Genomic DNA, 24,596 nt, shown 5'->3' on the forward strand with positions numbered 1-24,596 from the left:
TCAAGTTTATTGCCATAAATGCATAATATTCTTTGTGACCTTTTAATGTTTATAGGATTTGTAATAATGTCCCTTTTTCATTAGTGATATTAGTAATTTATATTTTAGTAAATTATATTTTATAATGTATATTTTCTTTCCTCTTTTTCCTGATTAGTTTTTCTAGAGATTTAACAATTTTATTAATTTTCCAAAGAACCAGCTTTGGTCTCAATAATTTTTACTATTATACATTTATTTTCTAGTTCATTGATATCGTGCTTAGCTTTTTTACTTTCTTCCTTTTATTTTTTCTTGGGTTTAACTGGCCTTTTATTTTAGCTCCATGAAAACGTTGCTCATTGGTTTTAGTCTTTCTTGCCTAATATATGAATTTAAAGCTATAGCTTTCTCATAAGTTTATTAATTATGTAGTTCAAATAATCTATATCCTTATAGGGTTTTTGCTTGTTTTACATTTTATTTCTTTACATGAAAAAATACCATTTTCACATAAAGAAACTATTTTCACCTAAAGAAATAAAATGGACCGGGCATGGTGGCTTATGCCTGTAATCCCAGCACTTTGGGAGGCTGAGGTGGGAGGATCACTCAAGCCCAGGCTGAGGAACATAGTGGGACTCTGTCTCTACAAAAAATTGAAAAATTAGCTGGGCATCAGCTGGGCTCAGTGGCTCATGCTTGTAAACCCAGTACTTTGGGAGGCCGAGGCGGGTGGATCATTTGAGGTCAGGAGTTCCAGATCAGATCAGCCTGGCCAACATGGTGAAACCCTGTCTCTACTAAAAATACAAAAATTAGCCAGGCATGGTGGTACACGCCTGTAATCCCAGCTACTCGGGAGGCTGAGGCAGGAGAATTGCTTGAACCCATGAGGCGGAGGTTGCAGTGAGCTGAGATCATGCCACTGTACTCTAGCCTGGGTGACAGAGCAAGACTGTCTCAAAAAAAGAAAAAAAGTTAGCCAGGCATGATGGCGTGTGCCTATAGTCTCAGCTACTTGAGAGGCTGAGGTAGGATTGCTTGAGCCTGGGAGGTTGAGGCTGCAGTAAGCTATGATCATGACATTGCTCTCCAGCCTGGGTGACAGGCTGAGACCCTGTCTCAAAAAAAAAAAAATAATAATAATAAAAATAAAAAATAAATAAAATGAATTCCATTAGAAGTCATTAAAATGAGGCTTTATTTGTTAATTCATTTTGCTTGTTTGAATCTTTTAATTAGATCTGCATGTTTTCCCAAAACTGAACTTGTTACTTCCAGCTACAGCATGGATCAATTTGTGCTCACCTTTTTCTTCCATCTGTGGCTCAAAATTCATCCCTTCTAGAAAGTTCTCCCTTAAATTAACTTCATTCTATGAAGTTAATTTGATTCCTCCATTACTCTAACTCCCATTAATTATCTAATATTTTACATTGCACTATTTTATTTTGCACTGCTAAATAGATATCTAAAAAGTATTTAAGAAGGCATGATTAACAATGCTGAACAGTGCTAGAGAAATGATAAAACCGTGTAGCTTATGGCCACTGCAAATTTGTGGTCTCCAGTCTCAGCCTGATTCTCCACATTGCTCTCTAATCCTTCTATCTATTCATGCTCAGTATCCTAAGCTTTCATGCAGTGGTTCTTTCAAACCCTTGCCACTCTCTTTAAGTGTTACCCTATCACTTCCTCCCCTATAATTTTCAACTGTCAATTTTTTACTACACAAATAAAGGGGGCTGTGATGTATGCAAGCTTTCTCACTCCCAGCTCCACATGGCTACAATATATTTTGTTTTCTACAGCTACCCTCATCTCTGTCTTAGGAAAAGGTGTTCTCCTGCTTAGGAATAATATTGCTATCTCTCTTATGTGTGTCTCTTTTCACCTCTATGATTTATTCTTTCTTATAAATCTTCCACAATTGGCTCATTCTCCTTAATATATGCATACACATACCAAAATCTCTATCTTACAAAAAAACCCAGCACTAAAATACTTCCTTGATTCTACAGCAACTCCTCCCCTCAACCTAATCTTTTCCAGCCAAGGTTCTTCAAAGACAGAGTTATATTCCTTGTATCCACTTTCACCTACTAGCCAGGTTTTGCCCCATTATAGCCTCTACCATCCCTTTCCCTATGCTACTGAAATTTTTCTACCAAAGATTAAGGATGCAAAACCTTATTGTCAAATGTAATGTGAACTTTTCAATTGTTATCCTCTTTGTTGGCAGCTGACATAATTGACTCAATCCATTGAAACACTACTTGTAGGGCATCTTTCTCACAATATTCTGTGCCCCTGTGTGTGTTTGTTTTGAGATGGAGTCTGCTCTGTTGCCCAGGCTGGAGTGCAGTGGCGCAATCTCAGCTCAATGCAACCTCCACCTTCTGGGTTCAAGCGATTCTCCTGTCTCAGCCTCCTGAGTAGCTGGGATTACAGGCATGTGACACCACGCCTGGTTAATTTTTATATTTTTAATAGAGATGGGGTTTCACCATGTTGGCCAGGCTGGTCTCAAACTCCTAACCTCAGGTGATCCACCTAGCTCGGTCTCCCAAAGTGCTGGGATTATAGGCGTAAGCCACCATTCCCAGCCTCGATTTTCCTCTTATCTCCTGCTATCCCTTCTCAGTCTCTTTTAAGGGCTCCTCTTAAATATCAATGTTTCCTTAGGATTCTGCCCTGGGCCCATTTTATTTTACTATACACATTCTCTCTAGGCAACACTCCTGGCTTCAGCTTCTACCTATTAATTACATGACCTCCTATTTCCAGATCAGACTTCTCACAAGCTTTAGAGCTACACATCCAACTAAGTATTAAACATCTTCAGACCCCCATCTCTGAAATGGAATCTATCATCTTTTCACTTAAAATGTGCCCATTCATTTTCTATCTCTCGGAAGGGATTGCTATCTACCCAGCTGCCTAAGCCAGAAGTCCAAGAAAGATTCTAAACCCCTTCTGTCCTTAATGTCCAGTCATTAATTTCTGTTTATTTTCACCTCCCAAGTATTTCTTACAACCACAACATCTTTTCTAGATCTACTGTCATTATCTTGGTTCATGACCTCATAATAACTGTAGCCCCAAAATTTCCCTGTATTCTTCAAAATTTATTTTTGAGTATTATTAAAACATAATACACAATAATTGTACTATTTATGGGGTACATGTAATATTTTGATACAAGCATACAACGTATAATGATCAAATCAGGGTAACTGGGGTATGCATCACCCCTCTATTTTTTGTTTATAATTTTATCCAAGTTACATATGTTGTCATATGTGGCTCTACAGGGTTAATAACAAAAAATCAGCAGTCCTCTGCCCTCTTCTCAAGAGATAACCCATTTTTTCCCCCTTTAGCTCACTATTTTGATCCTGACTTTCATGTTTCTAAATAACTTGCCTGTGTTGGTACTTCTTGATTTTTTAGTTTTAGGCATATCTAATGACTTCCTACTAGGGAACCGTTCATTCATTCACCCAGCAAATACTTATCGAGTGCTTAATATCGTGCCAGGCACGATTCTGAGTGTTTGAGATATAACAAACACAACAAATAACCATCAGGGAAAAAATATGAACAAACATAAATTAGAATATTATATAATTCATTATAAAACAGGATCTTTCTTAGCAAGGTAAGATGCCCTTCTTTTGTGCTCCAGTAGTGCCCTGTTCACAGCCCTACCATAGTCAGCACATTCTATACTACAATCCTGTGTAAGACTGTGGTTGGTAGTGACTGTCTTGTTTAGACCTAAGTTATAGTCTTCCTATGGTTCTGATGAGTCCAGTGGTGGTGACTGGAGGGAGCTCTCTGGAGAACAGAAGAACCTCCTGGGAAGGTGCTGGAGAGCTTAGGTTATCATAAAAAATGAGCTAGGGTAATTCTGGAGGAGCTGACTCCACAGATCTCTAGATTAACTGCAAAGACTTGTTAAATCCCAATTTACCATTTGAAGTGTTAAAGGTAACAAATTAGGATCATCACAAAGGAAAGCTCCTTACCTCATGATTAAATTTTAAAAATTGGCCAGGCGCGGTGGCTCATGCCTGTAATCCCAGCACTTTGGGAGGCTGAGGCAGGCGGATCACAAGATCAAGAGATCTAGAACATCCTGGCCAACATGGTGAAACCCCATCTCTACTAAAAATACAAAATTTAGCTGGGCGTGGTGGCGTGCGCCTGTAGTCCCAGCTACTCGGGAGGCTGAGGCAAGAGAATGGCGTGAACCTGGGAGGCAGAGCTTGCAGTGAGCCAAGATTGCACCACTGCACTCCAGCCTGGTGACAGAGCAAGACTCTATCTCAAAACAAAACAAAACAAAACAAAAAACAATCGTACCAATGACTAGTAAATGAAGTTTAGAAATGTTTGAACATTTCTGATTAAACATGATAATTCAATTTTAGTGTAACAGATCCTAATTTCTTTGCTTTGTTAGCTTATTTTTAAATTTTTTAATTTTTATTTTTTTGAGACAGGGTAGAGTGTGGCACAATCTTGGCTCAATGCAACCTCTGCCTCCAGGGTTCAAGCGATTCTCATGCCTCAGCCTCCCGATTAGCTGGGACTACAGGCGTGTGCCACCACACCCAACTAATTTTTGTATTTTTAGTAGAGATGGTGTTTCACTTGTTGGCCAGGCTGGTCTTGAACTCCTGACCTCAAGTGATCCGCCTGCCTTGGCCTCCCAAAGTGCTGAGATTACAGGTATGAGCCACTGCACCCGGCCTGTTAGGCTGATTATAAAAAAGGATAAGGCTGGGTGTGGTGGCTCATGCCTATAATTTCAGCATTTTGGGAGGCAGAGCTGGGAGGACTGCTTGAGCCCAAGAGTTGGAGACCAGTCTGGAAAACATACTGAGACTTCGTCTCTACAAAAAATAAAAAAATTAGCTGGGTGTGGTGGTGGGTGTCTAGAGTCCCAGCTACTCAGGAGGCTGAGATGGGAGGATCACTTGTGCTAGGAGGTTGAGGCTTTGGTGAGCCTCATGTCACTGCACTCCAGCCTGGGTGACAGAGTGAGACACTATCTTGAAAAAAAAAAAAAAGATACAAAAGGATAAAATTAAGTACATATCATTATTTTTTCATTATCACTTTACTTATTTGCTTGATTATTAAAAGGAATACAATGAGGTAAAAGGGTGTTTCATAACTTACTTTTCAAAAACTTTGCCCAGAATCACAAATTGGTACATTAGTGGGTTTTTGTTTGTTTAAAGTTAAAGGCTTACTTAATTCTTTGACATAGTAATGAAAACTATATTATGAGCTATATATTTTAGAATTAAATATTTTACATATGATAACCCTCCCTTAATAACATTTTCTTTTTTTTACATTTTGTTATATTTTTATATTTTTTGCCTCTTTAAAAAATAATTTGGTTTTGAATATTAAATTTACATATTTCTAAGTTAAATCAACATTCGTAGAGGAATTATCAAAAAAAACTAGTAAGTCTGAAAAAAAAACCATATTTTTATATTCTGAGGTCCTATATATGCTATGGCTAATTCTCTAATTTTAAAAAATGCTGAATATTTACATAATGTTTATCAAACTATTATTAATTTATATTTGAGTGCTTTATTATATTGGAATTGCAGTAATATTAACATTTGTATAAACACACAAAACCTTGTCTTTTCTTGCTAGAAAGAGATGTAAAAATCTGAACTAGTTGAACAGTCTTAACTCATTGTCTAGCCAGATGTGGTGGCTCACCCCTGTAATCCCAGCACTTTGGGAGGTTGAGGCGGGTGGATTGCTTGAACTCAGGAGTTTCAGACCAGCCTGGGAAACATTGCAAATCCCCATTTCTACCAAAAATACAAAAAAAATTGGCCAGGTGTGGTGGCAGGCACCTGTAGTCCCAGCTACTTGGGATGCTGAGGTGGGAGGATCACTTGAGCCTAGGAGGAAAGCTGTAGTGAGCAGAGACTGTGCCACTGCACTCCAACCTAGGTAACAGAGTGAGAACCCATCTCAAATAATAATAATAATAACAATAAAGAACTCATTGTCCATTGGTAATAATAAATGTGTTTACGATGCAACAAAAAGTGTAACACAAAAATATATTAAATGCTGCAGCAAGTATTTACATATATGTACCTCATTTTTTTTTCTTTCCACTAAGGAAGGTGCTTGTCTACAAATAGACAAACACAAATGCTTTGGTGTTTACAATTACAAACACCCCAAGTCTAGAACTTAAAAGTGGCAGTACTTTTTTTGGGACTTCTTCAGTTAACAGTTACTTTACACAGTGCTAAACTTTTTACTCTTAATTACATTTTTGGATGATATTTATATCCCATTGTCCTAGAACACTGTGATCAAACTATTTTTTTTTTTTTTTGAGACGGAGTTTTGTTCTTGTTGTCCAGGCTGGACTGCAATGGCACGATCTTGGCTCACTGCAATCTCTCCCTCCCGGGTTCAAGGGATTCTCCTGCCAAGTAGCTGGGATTACAGGTGCCCACCACCACACCTCGCTAATTTTTGTATTTTTAGTAGAGACTGGGTTTCACCATGTTGGCCAGGCTGGTCTCGAACTCCCGACCTCAGGTAATCCGCCCACCTCAGCCTCCCAGTGTTGGGATTTTGGACGTCAGCCACTGCACCTGGCTGATCTAATTATTTTAATAATAGTTTAATAGAAATGTCAGAAAAAGGAATTTCTGGAAATAAACAGGTTTTATAAAGGTTTTTTCTGTAGATTACAATTATATTTGTCTCAAGTATTTAATTAATTTGGAGGAAGAAATAAAAGTCATAAGCAGTCAACATATCTATGAGATATAAGGAGCATCCCCTATGTTTCTTTATTATTTTATTTTTTGAGACAGAGTCTCGCTCTGTTGCCTAGGCTGGAGTGCAATGGCACGATCTTGGCTCACTGCAACCTCCACCTCCTGGGTTCCAGTGATTTTCCTGCTTCAGCCTCCCAGGTAGCTGGGATTACAGGCATGAGCCACCACGCCCAGCTAATTTTTGTATTTTTGGTAGAGACGGAGTTCCACCATGTTGGCCAGGCTGGTCGAGAACTCCCGACCTTAGGTGATCCACTCGCCTGGGCCTCCCAAAGTGCTGGGATTACAGGCATGAGCCACTGCGCCCAGCCTTCCCTACTTTTCTGATACCTAATGACCTTAGCTAACAAGGAAGCCACACCTTGAAAAGCAATTTTGAAATCTCTGTGAGAGTAGATTAAATCTTGGAGATAGACAATGACATACGTGTATCTGTTTACCAGGTAGAAGGGCAGAAAAATAAATAAGGACAATTTTCTCCTACAGAGTAAAACACTTCATCAGTAGATAAGATTGAAGATCATATAAAGGTGTTTTACTGATTACTAATGCACAGATTAAAACGGTAAGCCATCTTAATTTTTTAAAAATTTGCCAATTATCATACTTCATTTTAAAAAAAATCTGAGGACAGAAACTTGATTATTGATTATTTAACATATTTTGAAGTAACATAGAATGAAAATTGGTTACCTAATCAAGTAGCAACAGAAGAGTAAACTAAGGATGAAGACAAATATAGCAGTACCAAAAACCACAATATATATGTTGAGAGGCAGATTCTGGAATCCAATATTAGGCATCCTGAAGTTGTAATGTGGGAAATCCGAGCTCATGGATGAACTGTGGGGGAAGAAAAGAATGGAAAAAAAATAGGTAAAGACTAAGAACCAAGACAGCATTATCATTGTGCACGTATAGAGGCACAATGACCTCATCTGAAACAAATATGGTAGACAAAGTGTTAATATTCTTGCCATTCATTCATTCATTCACCATGCCAAATATTTACTGAGTATTATGTACCTGGCACTATTTCAGAGACTGGAGATCCAATATAAAAAGCTTTGCAAGTTGCATTTATTCACTAAAAGGCATTTCACTAAAATAATGCCAGTAATTAATAAACATGAAAATGTTCAACCTCAGAGAAGTGCAAAAAGAAAAAAAGTTTTAAGATTCTTCAAACTCTTTAGCCTTTAACCTAATAACTCAACCCTTGAAGTAACAATATTTATAATGGTAAAATATTAGAAATAACTGAGATATCTCACAAGGAAATATGATTAATTATATAGTCATATGTTATAGTATTAAAGGGTCATGAAAACATTTTCAAGTAATTTTTTTTTTCTTTTGAGACAGGGTCTCATTCTGTCACCCCAGGCTGGAGTGCAATGGTGTGATCTCAGCTCTCTGCAGTCTTAATCTCCCGGGCTCAAGCAATTCTTCCACTTCAGCCTCCCAAATAGCTAGGACTACAGGCGCGTGCCACCACACCTAGCTAATTTTTAAAAATTTTTTTGTAGAGATAGCATGTTGCCTAGGCTGGTCTTGAACTCGTGGGCTCAAGCAATCATCCCTACTTGGCCTCCCAAAGTGCTGGTATTATAGGCATGAGCCACTGTGCCCGGCCAATTTCTCCCCATTCTATACACAAGGAAACTGAAGCTTAGACAGTTCTGGTCCCATGGCCATGACTGACCCGGTATGTACACAGCCAGAGCCTCTCCAACTCCAAACTCAGCAGTCTCAGTCCATATGCTCCACTGCCTTGCTCATGTGTTACTTTTATAATCAGAAACAGTAAGTGTTGTTTAAACATTAAAAAAAAGGACTATTTCTGTCAGTTTGTTTGAGAATACTTACTGATTACTACAGTTAAAATTCCACAGATAAAGGATGCCTCTCCTGTAAGTGATAAGCTGTAGTTTGTCATTTTGATTCCTTACAAAATAAAGAGTTCCTGCCAGGCCTGCTTATTAAGACCAAAGATTGACAATGGAATTATAACTATGAATACTACAAATCCAAACCCAAACAAAACTCTACCAAGCAAAGAAAACTTCTACTTTTATTTATGCATGGTAAATTAAAAATGTGTTCACAGATTTTTAGTTTTCTTGTAGGTTCCCAGAAGAGTATATTTATACTGTTGACACCACTGAGATGCTAACTGGCTGTATCTGAAATCTAAATCTTATGATTAGTTTCCAGTCTCTAGTAACATATATCAGGAAGTCAGTACCTGCAAAGAACAACTTCATCCCATGTAAATTCTTCTCTGACAGCTTCCAAACATAAATAATGGGTAATATTTAATTTTGAACCTTTGGCCATTTTCTGGGTTGGCTCAGTTAGAGCAAGTGCTTTTACTCAAATACATATTTAATTTCCTTTTTCCTACATTCAGATCTTCTTACGAAGGGAAGGAAGGATGTAGTTAAGGAGTGCTTTACCAAATATACATAGCACATACGCTGTGGAGCTATTAGAAAATTACAGGGCACAAAACTCAGCTCTTAACTTTCATATTGCTGACAGGGCCTCACTTGATGACCCTTGTTATAGCCAAGACTTAGATGGCTGTCCTTTAATCCCTTAGAAATATCCCTCCCCAGACAAGACTGGCTTGGTAAAATATCTCTCACCTTAGAAAATAAGGGATTAGGCCAGGTGCAGTGGCTCACACCTGTAATCCCAGCACTTTGGGAGGCTGAGGTGGGTGGATCACCTGAGGTTAGGAGTTCGAGACCAGCCTGGCCAACATGGCGACAATGTGTCTCTACTAAAGATGCAAAAATTAACTGGGCGTGGTGGCACACACTTGTAATCCCAGCTACTCAGGAGGCTAATGCAGGGGAATCGCTCAAACCAGGGAGGTGGTTGGTTGCAGTGAGCCAAGATTGCTCCACTGCACTCTACCTGGGTGACAGAGCGAGATTCCATCTCAAAAAAAAAAAAAAAAAAAAAAAAAAGAAGAAAATAAGAGAATAAACATCTGTACTGGGCAAGCTAAGAGGAAATAGGCAAGTGACAGAAAGTGGTATGGTAGAAAGACGGAGAGGTTTGCAGTCAGCAAAGCTGGATGCTTGCTCCCAGGATGTCACTAGCTAAATGTCAGAGCTTGGCCCATCTATACTTCAATTTTCTCATCTTTCAAATGGGATAATGGGATATTCAAATGGGATAATCTAACAACTTTAAGGAATTCCTGAAAGGATAAAATGAGATAGCAGATAATGAAGTGTCTGAAAACTCAAAGAGGACAAAACTATTAAGGCTTTAGTGTGTGTGTGTGTGTGTGTGTGTGTGTGTGTGTGTGTTTGGGGAAAGGGAATGACATTAAATGAAAGTAGTAAATACCATAAAGGAAGCCTTGACAAAAATCATGTCTCTGGAGAGGATTCCACCAAACCAAGTGCCCCTTCCACAGGGAGCTCTTCTGCATGCACTGACAGCTTTCTGTCAGGTGGCCTGCCAACCTGGCCTCCAGATGCAGGAACTAGAAACCATGTCTGGCCAAAGGCAGCCATTAATACAGGCTAGCTAGGAGTGAGGCCAGTGGTGTGGGAATGTTGCCCTGCAGAGTTCTTGAAATTGGTACAATTCTTGTAGCATTCTGTACAAAGACTCAGACACACACAGCAGTAGAGGTAGTAGCACTGTCATCAGAGGGAAGAGACATCTGCCTTAGTGCTGCTGGGGGCTGGATGTTGAGACTTTTGTGAGTCCTCACTACCTGGCAGGGCCTTTTAATAAATCCCAATTACCAGAGGGATCCAGGCTGGTAGAAGATATGTTGATGCGAATATATTTTAGGAATTTTTCTCTCTTTGTTTTAGTAAATAAAATGGCTTCACTACAATTGATATGTTGGCCCAACAATTTTAAGTAGATGGTAGAGTATTCCAAGATGTTAATCCTGATCCAGTGACACATTAGTTTTTACAAAATTTTTATCATAATGTATTTTCACCAGAAGTATTAATCTTTTAAAATAAATTGATAAAAGGCTACATATCATCTTAGTAATATGCATTCTTTGCTATTGAAGTCTTACAAATATAAGTTATTTAGTAATTGCTCCTTGTGGGAGTGAAGAGGAGAAATAGAACATACAGTACACTGTTGTAGCTTACTTGGCATTTCCAACTTCATTCACGTGAAAGCCTTTTTTTCCCCTTATGTAAATTCAGTTCTTGAAATCTCTAGCCTCAGCCTAAATTTCAAACCACCCAGTCAGTTTATTAAAATCAAACCAAAACAAAAAAAAAAGACAAGAAGATTTGAGTATTTTATCAGCAATCTTAGAACCAAGAAGTTCTAAGAGGGACAGATTACTTGAGATTTGGATGCCTACATGACCTGAGTTTAACACAATACACCACAGCTAAATGGGGCTGCAGTAGCATTCCTCAAAGCATGCTTGGTAGCCACATTCTTCTTAGACCAGTTCCTGTTCCCTGGACAATACCATATCATCTTCCCAGGAGTCAATATTCTAGTTTTGCTTCAAAAATGCTCAGAAGTGCCGGGTGCAGTGGCTCATGCCTGTAATCCCAGCACTTTGGGAGGCTGAGGCGGGCAGATCACGAGGTCAGGAGATCGAGACCATCTTGGCCAATATGGTGAAACTCTGTCTCTATAAAAATACAAAAATTAGCTGAGCGTGGTGACGCATGCCTGTAATCCCAGCTACTCGGGAGGCTGAGGCAGGAGAATCCCTTGAACCATGGAGTCGGAAGTTGCAGTGAGCCGAGATTGCGCCACTGCACTCCAGCCTGGCAACAAAAAAAAAAAAAAAAAAAAAAGAAAGAAAGAATAAAAAATGTAACAGGTGGCTGGGTGCGGTGGCTCACGCCTGTAATCCCAGCACTTTGGGAGGCCCAGGTGGGCAGATCACGAGGTCAGGAGTTCGAGACCTGCCTGGCTAATGTGGTGAAACCCCGTCTCTACTAAAAAATACAAAAATTAGATGGGCCTGGTGGCGTGCGCCTGTAATCCCAGCTTCTCAGGAAGCTGAGGCAGATTAGCTTCAACCTGGGAGGCAGAGGTTGCAGTGAGCTGAGATCGCACCATTGCACTCCAGCCTGGGACAGAGCAAGACTCCATCTCAAAGGAAAAAAAAAATGCTCAGAAAGGGGCTGGGTGCAGTGGTACATGCCTGTAACCCCAGTACTTTGGGAGGCTGAGGTGGGAGGACTGCTCGAGGCCAGGGATTTGAGACCAGCCTGGGAGACACAGGGAGACCCCACCTGTACAAATAAAAATAAAAATTAAAAAATTAGTTGGGCATGGTGGCATGTGCTTGTAGTACTAGTTACTCTGGAGGCTAAGATGGGAGGATCACTTGAGCCCAGGAATTCAAGGTTACAGTGAGCTATGATATCACTGCTACGCTCCAGCCTGGGTGACAAAGCAAGACTATCTCTAAAAGAGAAAGCTTTTGACATATTAGAAGGAACTAACTTCTTTGTTATTTATTGAGTATCTTTATGACCACATGAAACACCTTCTGCAAAATCTTTTCTTGAGTGGGTGGATGAGAGGAAAGATTAAAAATTTTAAAAACATGTCACTGATCAGTAGAAAGACCTAAGCTTTCTGATGAAATGGATACACTGGGTTCTAGAGAGAATTATTTTAAAAATAAGACCTATATTTGGACAGATCCTAGTAAAATTTCTGAATTCTAGGATAGAAAAACTGTGATAAGTTTCCAAAAAAAAAAAGTTGTTATAATGGAAAGCATATAGATTTGAGATTTATCCTAGGCCATGAGTATTAGAGTGGGCTTATGGAGTCAGAGAGCCAGGGGTTTAACCACGGATTTGTCAGTAATTTGGGGCTTGTTTCTTATCTTTTCTATGTCTCGGTTTCCTCATCTGATAAGACAGAATAATACTAGTAACTATTTCATAAAGTTTTAAGGGAATTAAATGACTCAACACACGAAAAGCACTTAAAGCACTTAGAACAGTACCTGGGCACATACTGTGTACTTGAGAAATGTTAGTTTTCATTATTAACTAAAATGCAACAATAAAAGATAATGGAATCACTGTCTGTATCTCCATTAAAAGACAGTCAGGTAGACTTCTGACTCCAGAAAGATGGCATAGACATACATTTCCCTATTTATCCAGCTAAATATAACTAAAAACCATGGACATTAAGTTGGACAGAAGGTAGCACACTAACTAGGGACCTGGGGACCCAAGGAACCACATGTTAACGAGTTCTCTGGGCTTTGTTTTTGTCTCCTATATCCCAGACTTAGAGCTGGCAAAGTTGGCAAACAAGAATGTCAACAGGTGAAGACAAAAAAAAAAAAAAGCCCTAATGAACGTGTTCTCTCTAGCCAAAGGATGACAAAAGGAGTAGTTAACAAGACTGAAAGCTTTTAAACAAGAATTGCCCTACTTCAGCTAAACAACCCAGAAAAAACTATGGCCACACCCCTATAGACATGCCAGCAAAGGCTGAAGGCAGAGCCTAGATTTTCACTCTTGCCAGGATGTAACGAGATGCCCCCCAGCCATCTTGCTGGGATAGTGTTAGAAAAGGCCAAGTAGGAAGCTGAAATCTGTTTTTTTTTTTTTTTTGAGATGGCGTCTTGCTCTGTCACCAGGCTGGAGTGCAGTGGTGTGATCTTGGCTCACTGCAACCTCCGCCTTCCAGGTTCAAGCGATTGTCCTGCCTCAGCCTCCCGAGTAGCTGGGACTACAGGCGCCCACCACCATGCCCAGCTAATTTTTGTATTTTTAGTAGAGACAGAGTTTCACCATGTTGGCCAGCTGGAATTTTTACACAACATGGTGAAAATGAGGCTCCACCTCAGTGATATCAGTAGAGACTACATGTGGACCCTGACTTCTACCCCTATCCAGCAGTAACAAAGTGACTATACTCCTCCTCAATGGGGTGATGACAGAGGAGGATCTCGTGAAGAATCGGGATTTTACCACCACCAAGTGGCAACAAGCACTCCTACCTTTTCCAGCCAAAGAGGTATCAGTGAAAGCCTAGTTGAGAGCTGGAACTCCCATTCCTGCCCCGTCCCCGCCCCCCATGTCAATAAAGGCTAAATAGGGAACCTGGACTTCTACCTTTACCTGGCATTAATGAAGCAGCATTACAACCCACCGTTTCACTGTCAGAGTGCTGTCAAAGGAAGCCAGTTAACACATCAGGTTTAAAAAAAATCCAGAGTCTCATAACATAATACACAAAATGTCCAGGTTTCAACTAAAAATTACTCATCGTACCAAGACTAGGAAGATCACAAATCAAATGAGAAATGATAATTAACAGATGCTAATGTCAATGACAAAAATGTTAAAATTATCTGACAAAGATTTTAAAGTAGCCGTCATCAAATTGTTTAAGCAAGCATTTATGAACATGCTTGAAACAAGTGAAAACACTGAAATTCTCAGCAAAGAAACAGAAGATATAAAGAGGAACAAAATGGAAATTATAGAACTGAAAAACACAATAATTGAAATAAAAAAACTAAAACTAAGCGATGGGCTCAACAGCAGAATGGAGAAGAAAGGGGAAAGCATAAGTGAACTAGGGCCAGGCACGGTGACTCACACCTGTAATCCCAGCACTTTGGGAGGCCAAGGTGGATGGATCTCTTCAGGTCAGGAGTTCGAGACAAGCCTGGCAAACATGGTGAAACCCTGTCTCTACTAAAAATACAAAAATTATCCAGGCATGGTGGTGGGCACCTGTAATCCCAGCTACTCGGCAAGCTGAGGAATCTGTACATAAGTGTACAGATTTAAGAAGCTGAACAAACTCCAAAGAGAATAAACCCAAAGAAATCTACAACAAGACACATCGTAGTCAAACTTCTGAAAACTAAAACAACAACAACAAAATCTTTTTTTTTCTTTGCAGAGGTAATTGAGTTAAAACAACACTAAAAAATCTTGAAAGCAACTAAGGAGATACCATTGGGGGAAATAATATGAAAGACACAGATTTCTCATCAGAAACAATGGAGGCCAAAAGGAAGGAACACATTTTTCAAGTGCTGAAAGAAAAGAGCCATCAACCCAAAATCCTACATCCAGCAAAAATACCCTTCAGGAATGAAACAGGAAATCAAGACAGCCTCACATGAAGGAAAACAACGGGAATTTATTGCTAGCAGACCTACTCTTGAAGAGTGACTAAAGGAAGCTGTCTTAACAGAAGGGAAATGATAAGAAAAGGAACCTTGGAACATCAAGAAGGAAGAAACAACATGGTAAACAAATATAAGGGTAAATACAATAAACTTCCTTCTCTTGAGTTTTCTAAATTATATTCAGTGGTTGAAGAAAAATTATAATTGTCCAACCCGGTTCTAAATGTATTCAGAGGAAATATTTAAGATGAGCATATTAAAAATAAGGGAGGATAAAGGGACATAAAAGGAGGTAACATTTCTAGTCTGAACTGGTAAAGTATACTAGTAGACTGCATATATAATACAATGCCTACAGCAATCAGTAAGAAAACTATACAAAGACATACACTCAAAACACTACAAAAAATCAAAAAGGACTTCAAAAAATTACTCAAGTAACAGAAACAAAAATAGTGAAAACAAATAGAAAACAAAGTTTAAAATGGCAAGCTTAAGTATAAATGATTTAAATATGCCAATTAAAACACAGAGACTGGCAGAATGAATTAAAAAACATCACCCAATAATATGCTGTCTACCTGAAACTCACTTTAAAAATAATGATACATGCATGTTGAAAAGGATGGAAAAAGATATGTAATGCAAGCATTAATCAAAAGAAAGCAGGAGTGGCTATATTAACATCAAAGCAGATTTCACAGAAAATAAAATTACCAGAGAGAGAAAGAAACATTACCTAATGATAAAATGGTCAACCCACTAAAAATACATAGCAATCCTAAATGTGCATGCACAAAACAACAGAGCTGCAAAACATGTGAAGGAAAAACTGACTGAACTGAAAGGAGATATAAAGAAATCTATAATTATACTCAAATACTTCAAAACCTTCTCCCAACAGCTGATGAAACAACTAGATAGAAAACCAGCAAGGATAAAGAAAAATTCAACAACACAATTAGACAACAGGATCTACTCAAAATATATAGAGCACTCTACCTAGCAACAGCAAAATATACATTCTTTTCAAATACCCATGGCACCTACACCAGGACAGACCACATTCCTGGTCATAAAACAAATCTCAAACAACCTTTCAAAAATCGAAGTCATATAGAGTGTGTTACTGGACATAGTTGAATCAAACTAGACATTTATAACAGAAGGGTAGCAAGAAAATATCCAAACACTTAGAAACTAATCAACACACTACTAAATAATCTATAAGTCAAAAAGAGGTCTTAAAAGAAATTTTTAAAAATACACTGAATTGATTGAAAATGAAAATACAGGCTGGGTGTGGTGGCTAACGCTTATAATCCCAGCACTGTGGAGGGCCGAGGCGGGCAGATCACCTGAGGTCAGGAGTTCAAGACCAGACTGGCCAACATGGTGAAACCCCATCTCTACTAAAAATACAAAAAAATTAGTCGGGCGTGGTGGCACGCACCTGTAGTCCCAGTTACTCAAGAGGCTAAGGCACGAGGATCGCTTGAATCCTGGCGGCGGAGATTGCAGTGAGCCGAGATCGCGCCACTGCACTCCAACGTGGGCGACAGAGTGAGACTCCGTCTCAGTTTAAAAAAAAAAAAGGGCTGGACGGGATGGCTCACGCCTGTAATCTCAGCACTTTGGGAGGCCGAGGCGGGTGGATCACATGAGGTTAGGAGTTTGAGACCAGCCTAGCCAACTAGGTAAAACCCCGTCTCTACTAAAAACACAAAAATTAGCTGGGTGTGGTGGCAGGTGCCTGTAATCCCAGCTACTCGGGAGGCTGAGGCAGGAGAATTGACTGAACCCGGGAGGTGGAGGTTGCAGTGAGCTGAGATTGTGCCACTGCACTCCAGCCTGGGTGACACACGCGAAACGCCATCTCAAAATAAAAAAAAAAGAAAATGAAAATACAACATATCAAAATTTGAGAGACATAGGTAAAGTAGTGCTGAGTGGGCAATTCATGGTACTAAACGCACACATAAGAAAATAAAAAATCTCAAATCAATAATCTAAACTCCTACATCAAGAACCCAGAAAAAGGGCAAGTTAAAAATTAAAGAACAGAAACCAGTTAAATTGAGAATAGGAAAACAATAGAGAAAAATCAATGAAACAAAAAGCTGAGTCTTTTCTTTGAAATGATCAGTAACACTGACAAATCTCTAGGAAGAATGACAAAAAAAAAAAAAAAAAAAAAAAAAGAGAAGACACAAATTACCTATATCAACAATTAAATAGGAGAGATCACTACAGACACTGCAGACATCAAAAGGATAAGAAGGGTATACACACATATACAGACATAAATTTAGTAACATAAATAAAACAGACCAATTCCTCAAAAAACACAAACTACAAAAACTCACCCAATATAAAATAGATAATGTGAACAGTTTTATAACTATCAAAGAAACTGAATTAGTCATTTAAAAATTCACAAAAAAGAAAGCTCCAGGCCAAGAGGCTTTTACCAGAGAATTCTACCAAAAGTTTAAATAAGAATGAGCACAAATCCTTGACAATCTTTTGCAGAGAATGGGAGGGAACATTTCTCAAGGCATTTTTTGAAGCCAATGCGACCTTGATAGCAAAACCAGATAAAGACAGTGTCTGGCAAATACAGACAGAAAAATTCTTAACAAAATATTAGCAAGTAGAATTTGGCAATATGTAAATAGAATTTTACAACACCATGACCAAGTAAGGTTTATTCAAGAGATGCGGGGCTGGCTTAATATTAAAAAAAAAAAAAATCAATGTAATCTATCCATATTAAATGGCTAAAGAAGAAAAATCACATGATCATATTAACTGATTTAAAAAAAACACATTTCACAAACATCAGCACCCAGAAATTAAAAAACTCCCAGAAATAGAAATGGAAGAGAACTTCTTCAACATGTTAAAAAGCATCTACAAAAAACAAACCGGCAAAAACCAACCAAACAATAACAACAAAAACTGTACAGCTAATATTATTCTTAATTGTGAAAGACTGAATACTTACCCCCCTAAGACCGGGAACAAGGCAGGATATCTGCTCTCACCACTCTTATTCAACATAGTGCTGGAAGTTCTAGCCAGTGCAATAAGGTAGAAAAGGGAATAAAAGGCATACACATCAGAAAGGAAGAAATTAAACTGAGCCTATTTGCCACATCAACATCTACAACAACAAAATCCCAAAGAATCTTCAAAAAAATTTCTAAAACTAATAAATGAGTTCAGCAAGGTTGCAGGATACCAGATATACATATAAAAATCAACTGTGTTTTTATAAATTAGCAATGAACATAGGAACACTGAAATTATAAATACAATGACATTTACAATTGTTCAAAAAAAGAAATACAAAGAATTAAATTTAATAAGACATTAGATATGTACAGGACTTATATGCTAAAAATGACAAAATGATGATTAGAGGAATCAAGTAAAATCTAAATAAATGCAGAGACATACTATGTTCATGGATTTGAAGACTCAGCATAGGAAAGATATTCTCTCCAAATTGATATATAGGTTTAACATAATTCCTATAAAAATCCCAGCAAATTTTTTTTTTGTAGATATAGACAAGTTTAACAAATGTAGACAGAAAGAAAGACAAGGAAATAAAACAGCTAAAGCAATTTTGAAAAAAGAAGACTAAAGGGAGAGGAATCAGTCTATTCAATGTAAGGACTCATCATAGCCTAATCAAGACACTGATTGGTTTTAGCAAAAGGATAGACACATAAGTCAATGGAACAAAATGAAGAACCCAGAAATAGACCCACACAAATAAGCATAAATGATTTTTGAGAAATGTGCAATCCTTTCTCAATGGAGAGAGTATATGGTCTTTTCAACAATTAGTGCTGGACCAATGGGACATCCATAGGCAAAAAAATTGAATCTTGATCTTAACCTCACACACAAAAAAACAACTCAAAGTGGATCATGAACTTAAACTTAAAATGCAGAACAATGATACAGTTACAAAAAACCTAAGAGAAGATATTTGGGATCTAGGATTAGGTAAAAAGCTCCAGACTTGACACCAAAAGCAAGGAGTATAAAAGGAAAAATTGATACACTGGACTTCATTGAAATGAAATGTTTTTTTTGCTTTGAAAAACTGTCAAGAGGATGAAGAAAGAAGCTAAAGACTAGGAAAAAAATATTTGCAAACCGTATGCCTGATAAAGGGCTAATATCTAAACACAAAATTCAATAGTAAAAAAACAACCAGTTATGGGTTGAATTGTGTTCTCAAAAAGATATGGTGAAGATATAACTCCCAGTACCTCTGAATGTGACTTTATTTGAAAATAGGTTTGTTGAAGATGTAATTAATTCAGATGTAATTAAGAAGTTAAAGTTATACTAGAGTAATCCAATATGACTGGTGTCTTTATAAGAGGAAAAGAGACACACAGAGAGAGATACAGGAGGAGAGAATGCTGAGTGATATAAGAAGCAGAGACTGAAGGATTGCTGGCTGTCATCAGAAGAGAGGCATGAACAAATCCTTTCTCAGAGCCCTCAGAAGGAACAACCTTGCTATTTTTTTTTTTGCAAGTGATTCTCCTGCCTCAGCCTCCCTAGTAGCTGGGACTATAGGAGTGCACCACCATGCTCTGTTCATCTTTGCATTTTTAGTAGAGATGGGGTTTCACCGTGTTGGTCAGGCTGGTCTTGAACTCCTGGACTCAAGTGATCTGCCCACCTTGGCTTCCCAAAGTGTTGGGATTACATGTGTGAGCCACTATGCCTGGCCACCAACATCTTGATTTCAGACTTCTAAACCCCAGAATTGTGAGACAATAGATTTTCTGTTGTTTTAAGGCACCCAGTTTATGGCACGTTGTTAAGGCAGCCCTAGGAAACAATTCAATTAGAAAATGGGCAAAAGAGATATTTCACCAAAGGGAATATACAGATGGTAAATAAGTACATAAACGTATGTTCAAAATCATTAGCTATTAGGGAAATAGAAATTAAAGCCACAATGAGAAATTACTAAATTAAACCTATCAGAATTGCTAAAATAAAAAATTGTAACAACACCAAATGCTGGCAAGAATGCAGAGAAACTAGAGCACTTTATCTTGTTGGTGGGAATATAATATGGTATAGCCACTCTGGAAAATAGTTTGTCAGTTTCTTGTAAAATTAAACATGCAACTGCCATACAACTCAGCAGTTGCACTCCTGGGCATTTATTCCAGGGAAATGAAAACCTATGTTCACATACAAACCTCAACACAAATGTTCATAGCAGCTTTATCTGTAATGGTCTAAAATTAGAAACAACCCAAATATCATTCAATGGGTGAACGATTAAACAAACTTGAGGTATGCACATCGTCAAATGCCACTCAGCAATAAAAAGAAACAAACTATTGATAGATGCAATAATCAGAGTCACTTTCCAGATAATTATGGTGAATGAAAAAAGCCAATCCCAGGTTACATACTGTATAAGTACACTTATCTTGATGTACTGTAAGAAATCCCTGATGTGATGGAAACCTTCTGTATGTTGACTGTATCAAAGTTAATATCCTGGTTATGATATTATACTATAGTTTTACAAGATGTTATCATTACAGGAAATTGTGAAAAGAGTACATAGGATCTTTCTGTACTGTTTATTGTAGCTGCATGTGAGTCTATAATTAAAATAAAAATTTTAATTAAAAAATATACAATGGAGCAACATCTATACAGGTCTGATGGAAAAGAACTGTGATATTAGAACTGTATATCCAGCCAAACTATCTTTCATTTGTATAGAAAAAAAAGAAAGAAGGAAAAAGACATTTTCAGACATTCAAGTACATTTCTTTCTCTTTATATAGGTACGTAATCATTCCACTAATTAAAATCCCCCATAGTAATCTAGATTAAGGCTTCAGGTTATTTCAGCAAAGCATGGAAGATGGAACGGGGAGAAGAAAGTTAAGTTGTGCTAATAGTTTTATTTTGAAAAGCTATAACTACTTAATTTAAAAAGTTGTTACAGAAGTATAAGTCTAAATACGTGTTTTAAAATGTAGGGAGCCACAAACAGTATGTATAATTTTCATGACTAGCAGAGAGGAAAAAGCAGCAAAGAAACCTGGATAATTTCAGCAAAATATAGGGTAAAAAGGGGAAGAAGGGGGGTCATAAGAAAGCAAATTATAGAAATATAAAATAAAATGGTAGGAACAAAACGAAAAATAAATCATGAGAAAAATAAATGGTTTAAATCCTATTTAAAAAGGCTCTAGGCCAGGCATGGTGGCTCACGCCTGTAATCCCAGGACTTTGGGAGGCCGAGGCGGGCGGATCACGAGGTCAGGAGATCGAGACCATCCTGGCTAACACGGTGAAACCCCGTGTCTACTAAAAATACAAAAAATTAGCCGGATGTGGTGGTGGGCGCCTGTAGTCCTAGCCACTCGGGAGGCTGAGGCAGGAGAATGGCATGAACCCAGAGGCAGAGCTTGCAGCGAGCAGAGATTGCGCCACTGCACTCCAGCCTGGGCGACACAGCGAGACTCCGTCTCAAAAAAAAAAAAAAAAAAGGGCTCTAGCTTCCACGATTTGGCACACACACAAAAAACCCCAGAAAGACTCTAGGATGAGGAGAAGCTGGTTAACACGTACAAAAATACAGTTAGACACAAAGAATAAGTTCTAGTATTTTACAGTGCAATAGGGAAACTGTAGTTAATACTTTGTTGTATTCCAAACACTACGAAATGAAGAAAACTAATTTTTTTTTTTTTTTGAGATGGAGTCTCACTCTCTCGCCCAGGCTAGAGTGCAGTGGCGTGATCTCGGCTCACTGCAACCTCAGCATCCTGAGTAGCTGGGATTACAGGTGTGTGCCACCATACCCGGCTAATTTTTGTATTTTTAGTAGAGACGGGGTTTCGCCCTGTTGGCCAGGCCGGTCTTGAAGTCCTGACATTGTGATCCGCCCACCTTGGCCTCCCAAAGTGCTGGAATTACAGACATGAGCCACCACGCCCAGCCAAGAAAACTAAATTTTAAAAGTAAAAAAAAATTAATGTATATTTCAAAATAGCTAGAAGAGAAGAATTTGCAATATTCCCAACAGAGAAAAATATTTGAGCTGATATCTCAATTACCATGATTTAATCATTATACATTGTACACATATACCAAAATATCATGTGCCCCCAAAATATGTACAGCTATGCTTTAATCAAAAAAGACTCTAAAATTATATAAGAACAATATTCAGCTTTATTATAAGAAAACACTTTAAATGATTCTAAGATATTTTTAAATGCGGGATGCAATAAGAAAATAAACAAAAATATAGCAGGCAAGTATAAGAAAGCAAGCAGGAGTGCTAATTATTTTTAAAAAAAGTAGAAATAAAGGCTAAAAAGCTATATGAACAATGATGTTTTATAGTGATAGAAATATTAATCTCCAAATGAGATATAACAAAAAAGAGGACATAAACAATACCATTAACAAATAATATATATATTGGCTGGGTGTGGTGGCTCATGCCTGTAATCCCAGCACTTTGGGAGGCCGAGGTGGGTGGATCACCTGAGGTCAGGAGTTCAAGATCAGTCTGGCCAACATGGTGAAACCCCATCTCTACTAAAAATACAAACATTAGCCAGGCGCGGTGGCGTGCGCCTGTAATCCCAGCTGAGGCAGGAGAAACGGTTAAACTCGGAAGGCGGAGGGTGCAGTGAGCCAAGATCGCGCCACTGCACTCAAGCCTAGGCAAAAGAGTGAGACTCTGTCAAAAAAAAAAAAAAACCCAAAACAAATAATATATATATATTATATATCTACGTATCTATACTGTGTGTGCGTGTGTGTGTATAACTTTGTGTCTTAACAAAGAAAACACCTTTTCATATGAATCTGGAACATCTACATTTAGATAAACTATTTATCATGCTATAGGAAGATTCCACAGAACAGAACTCTTAGAGGCCACAATACGTGACTACAATGTGTAAAATTAACTCAACAATAAAAAGATAAACAAAAGGAAACTACTTATAAATTCAAAAAATAATCTTTAAAATGACTTCAGGCCAGGTGTGGTGGCTCACAGCTGTAATCTCAGCACAGCACTTTGGGAGGCCAAGGTGGGTGGATCACCTGAGGTCAGGAGTTCAGACCAGCACGGCCAACATGGTGAAACCCCGTCTCTACTAAAAATACAAAAATTAGCCGGGTGTGGTGGTGGGTGCCTGTAATCTCAGCTACTCAGGAGGCTGAGGCAGGAGAATCCCTTGAACCCAGGAAGCAGAGGTTGCAGTGAGCAGAGATTACGCCATTGCACTCCAACCTAGGTGACAAGAGTGAAACTCCACCTCAAAAAAATAAATAAAATAAAATAAAATAAAATGACTTCTGTCTAGTAAGTAACTAAAACAAATCACAGACCATTTAGAAGTTAATCACATTGTGGGAAAAAAATCTCATACTGAGAGAAAAATCCATTACCTTCAACATGGGAAAAGTATTCTTACAGGCTACTGTGTAGGTGTATAAGTGTAACTGATCGTATTATCAATCTAAAAAAGAATAATGAAAATAAATGGACACAAGAATTCAATTCTGGAAAGTAGAAAAAGAACAAATCAAACAAAATAAGCCAGAAGAAGGAATTAATAAAGGTCAAACAAAAATGTATGAATTAAAACAAAACAATGAAAGGAATTGAAATCAACTAACCAAAACACTAAGAATGAGACAGATAAAAAAATTCTTATGCAGAGATTTAAAAACATCCATGAGATAATTTGAGTATTAATTTTAAATTCTAGAATAGATTTTATAGGAATATAACCAAAACTGGCTCAAGAAGAAAACTTGAAAATATAGAAATATCTTCACAAAAAAGGCTTCAGACCCCAATGGCAATGAAAGTGGAACTCGCTAAACTTGCATAGATAAGTAGTCTGCTATGTACAGTAGTCCCTGCTTATCGATGGTAGATATGTTCACAGACCCCCACTGGATGCCTGAAAACCCGGATAGCACCGAGTCCTACGTTTTTTTGAACTGATAACCAAGACCCTAATGGGCAGGTAGTGTACACAGCATGCAGACACTGGGCAGGGGATGATTCACGTCCTGGGTGAGATGCAGTGAGCACGACAGCTTGAGATTTCATTACACTACTCAGAATGGTGAATAATCGAAAACTTACAAATTGTTTTGGGAATTTTCCATTTAATATTTTCAGACTACAGTTGACCATGAGTAACTGAAACTGCAGAAAGCGAAACTGAAAATAAGGGCGAACTACTGTAAACTGATTCAGAGTATACAAAAAAATGATGGAAAGCATCCCAACTCATTTAAAGGTGTAAGCATAATCCTGAAACTAAAACCACAACTTTACAGCAGAGTTCATAAACTCAAGGCCTCTGGACTGAATCTGGCCTGAACAAGTATTTTGTTTGGCCTGTACAAAATTTTAAAGATTGAGATAATTTAGATTTGGGAGATTTAACATAAAATTAGCAATTTCCAGCTCTATACAGAAAAAGGTCAGATCTAATAACCCTGGGCTCCATTCTTACACGGCAAAAACAGCCTGGAGCTGAGTGGCCTCTGCTCCCAGGCTGCCATGTTGTTGC

At 38.1% G+C, this 24,596-nt stretch overlaps 1 protein-coding gene across 9 annotated transcripts in view; it reads right to left on the reverse strand.

Moving 5' to 3' along the window:
- Positions 1-24,596, reverse strand: part of RNF24 (ring finger protein 24) — an 88,248-nt gene that overhangs the window by 29,041 nt on the left and 34,611 nt on the right. For 4 of the 9 annotated variants that reach the window (NM_001134338.3, XM_017027621.2, XM_017027620.2 and 1 more), the window contains exons 2-3: positions 17,981-18,049; positions 7,524-7,673 (exon numbers count right to left, since the gene is read on the reverse strand). In NM_001134338.3, the coding sequence (NP_001127810.1) occupies positions 7,524-7,673; positions 17,981-18,036 (206 nt within the window). In that variant the 5' untranslated portion in view covers positions 18,037-18,049. Of the gene's footprint in view, positions 1-7,523; positions 7,674-17,980; positions 21,732-24,596 lie in introns of those variants that run through there. The other 5 variants (NM_001134337.3, XM_011529146.3, NM_001321749.2 and 2 more) reach the window with 2 other exon arrangements.

The sequence above is a fragment of the Homo sapiens genome, chromosome 20 (assembly GCF_000001405.40).
Source record: "Homo sapiens chromosome 20, GRCh38.p14 Primary Assembly".
In the NCBI taxonomy this organism is placed as follows: Eukaryota; Metazoa; Chordata; class Mammalia; order Primates; family Hominidae; genus Homo; species Homo sapiens.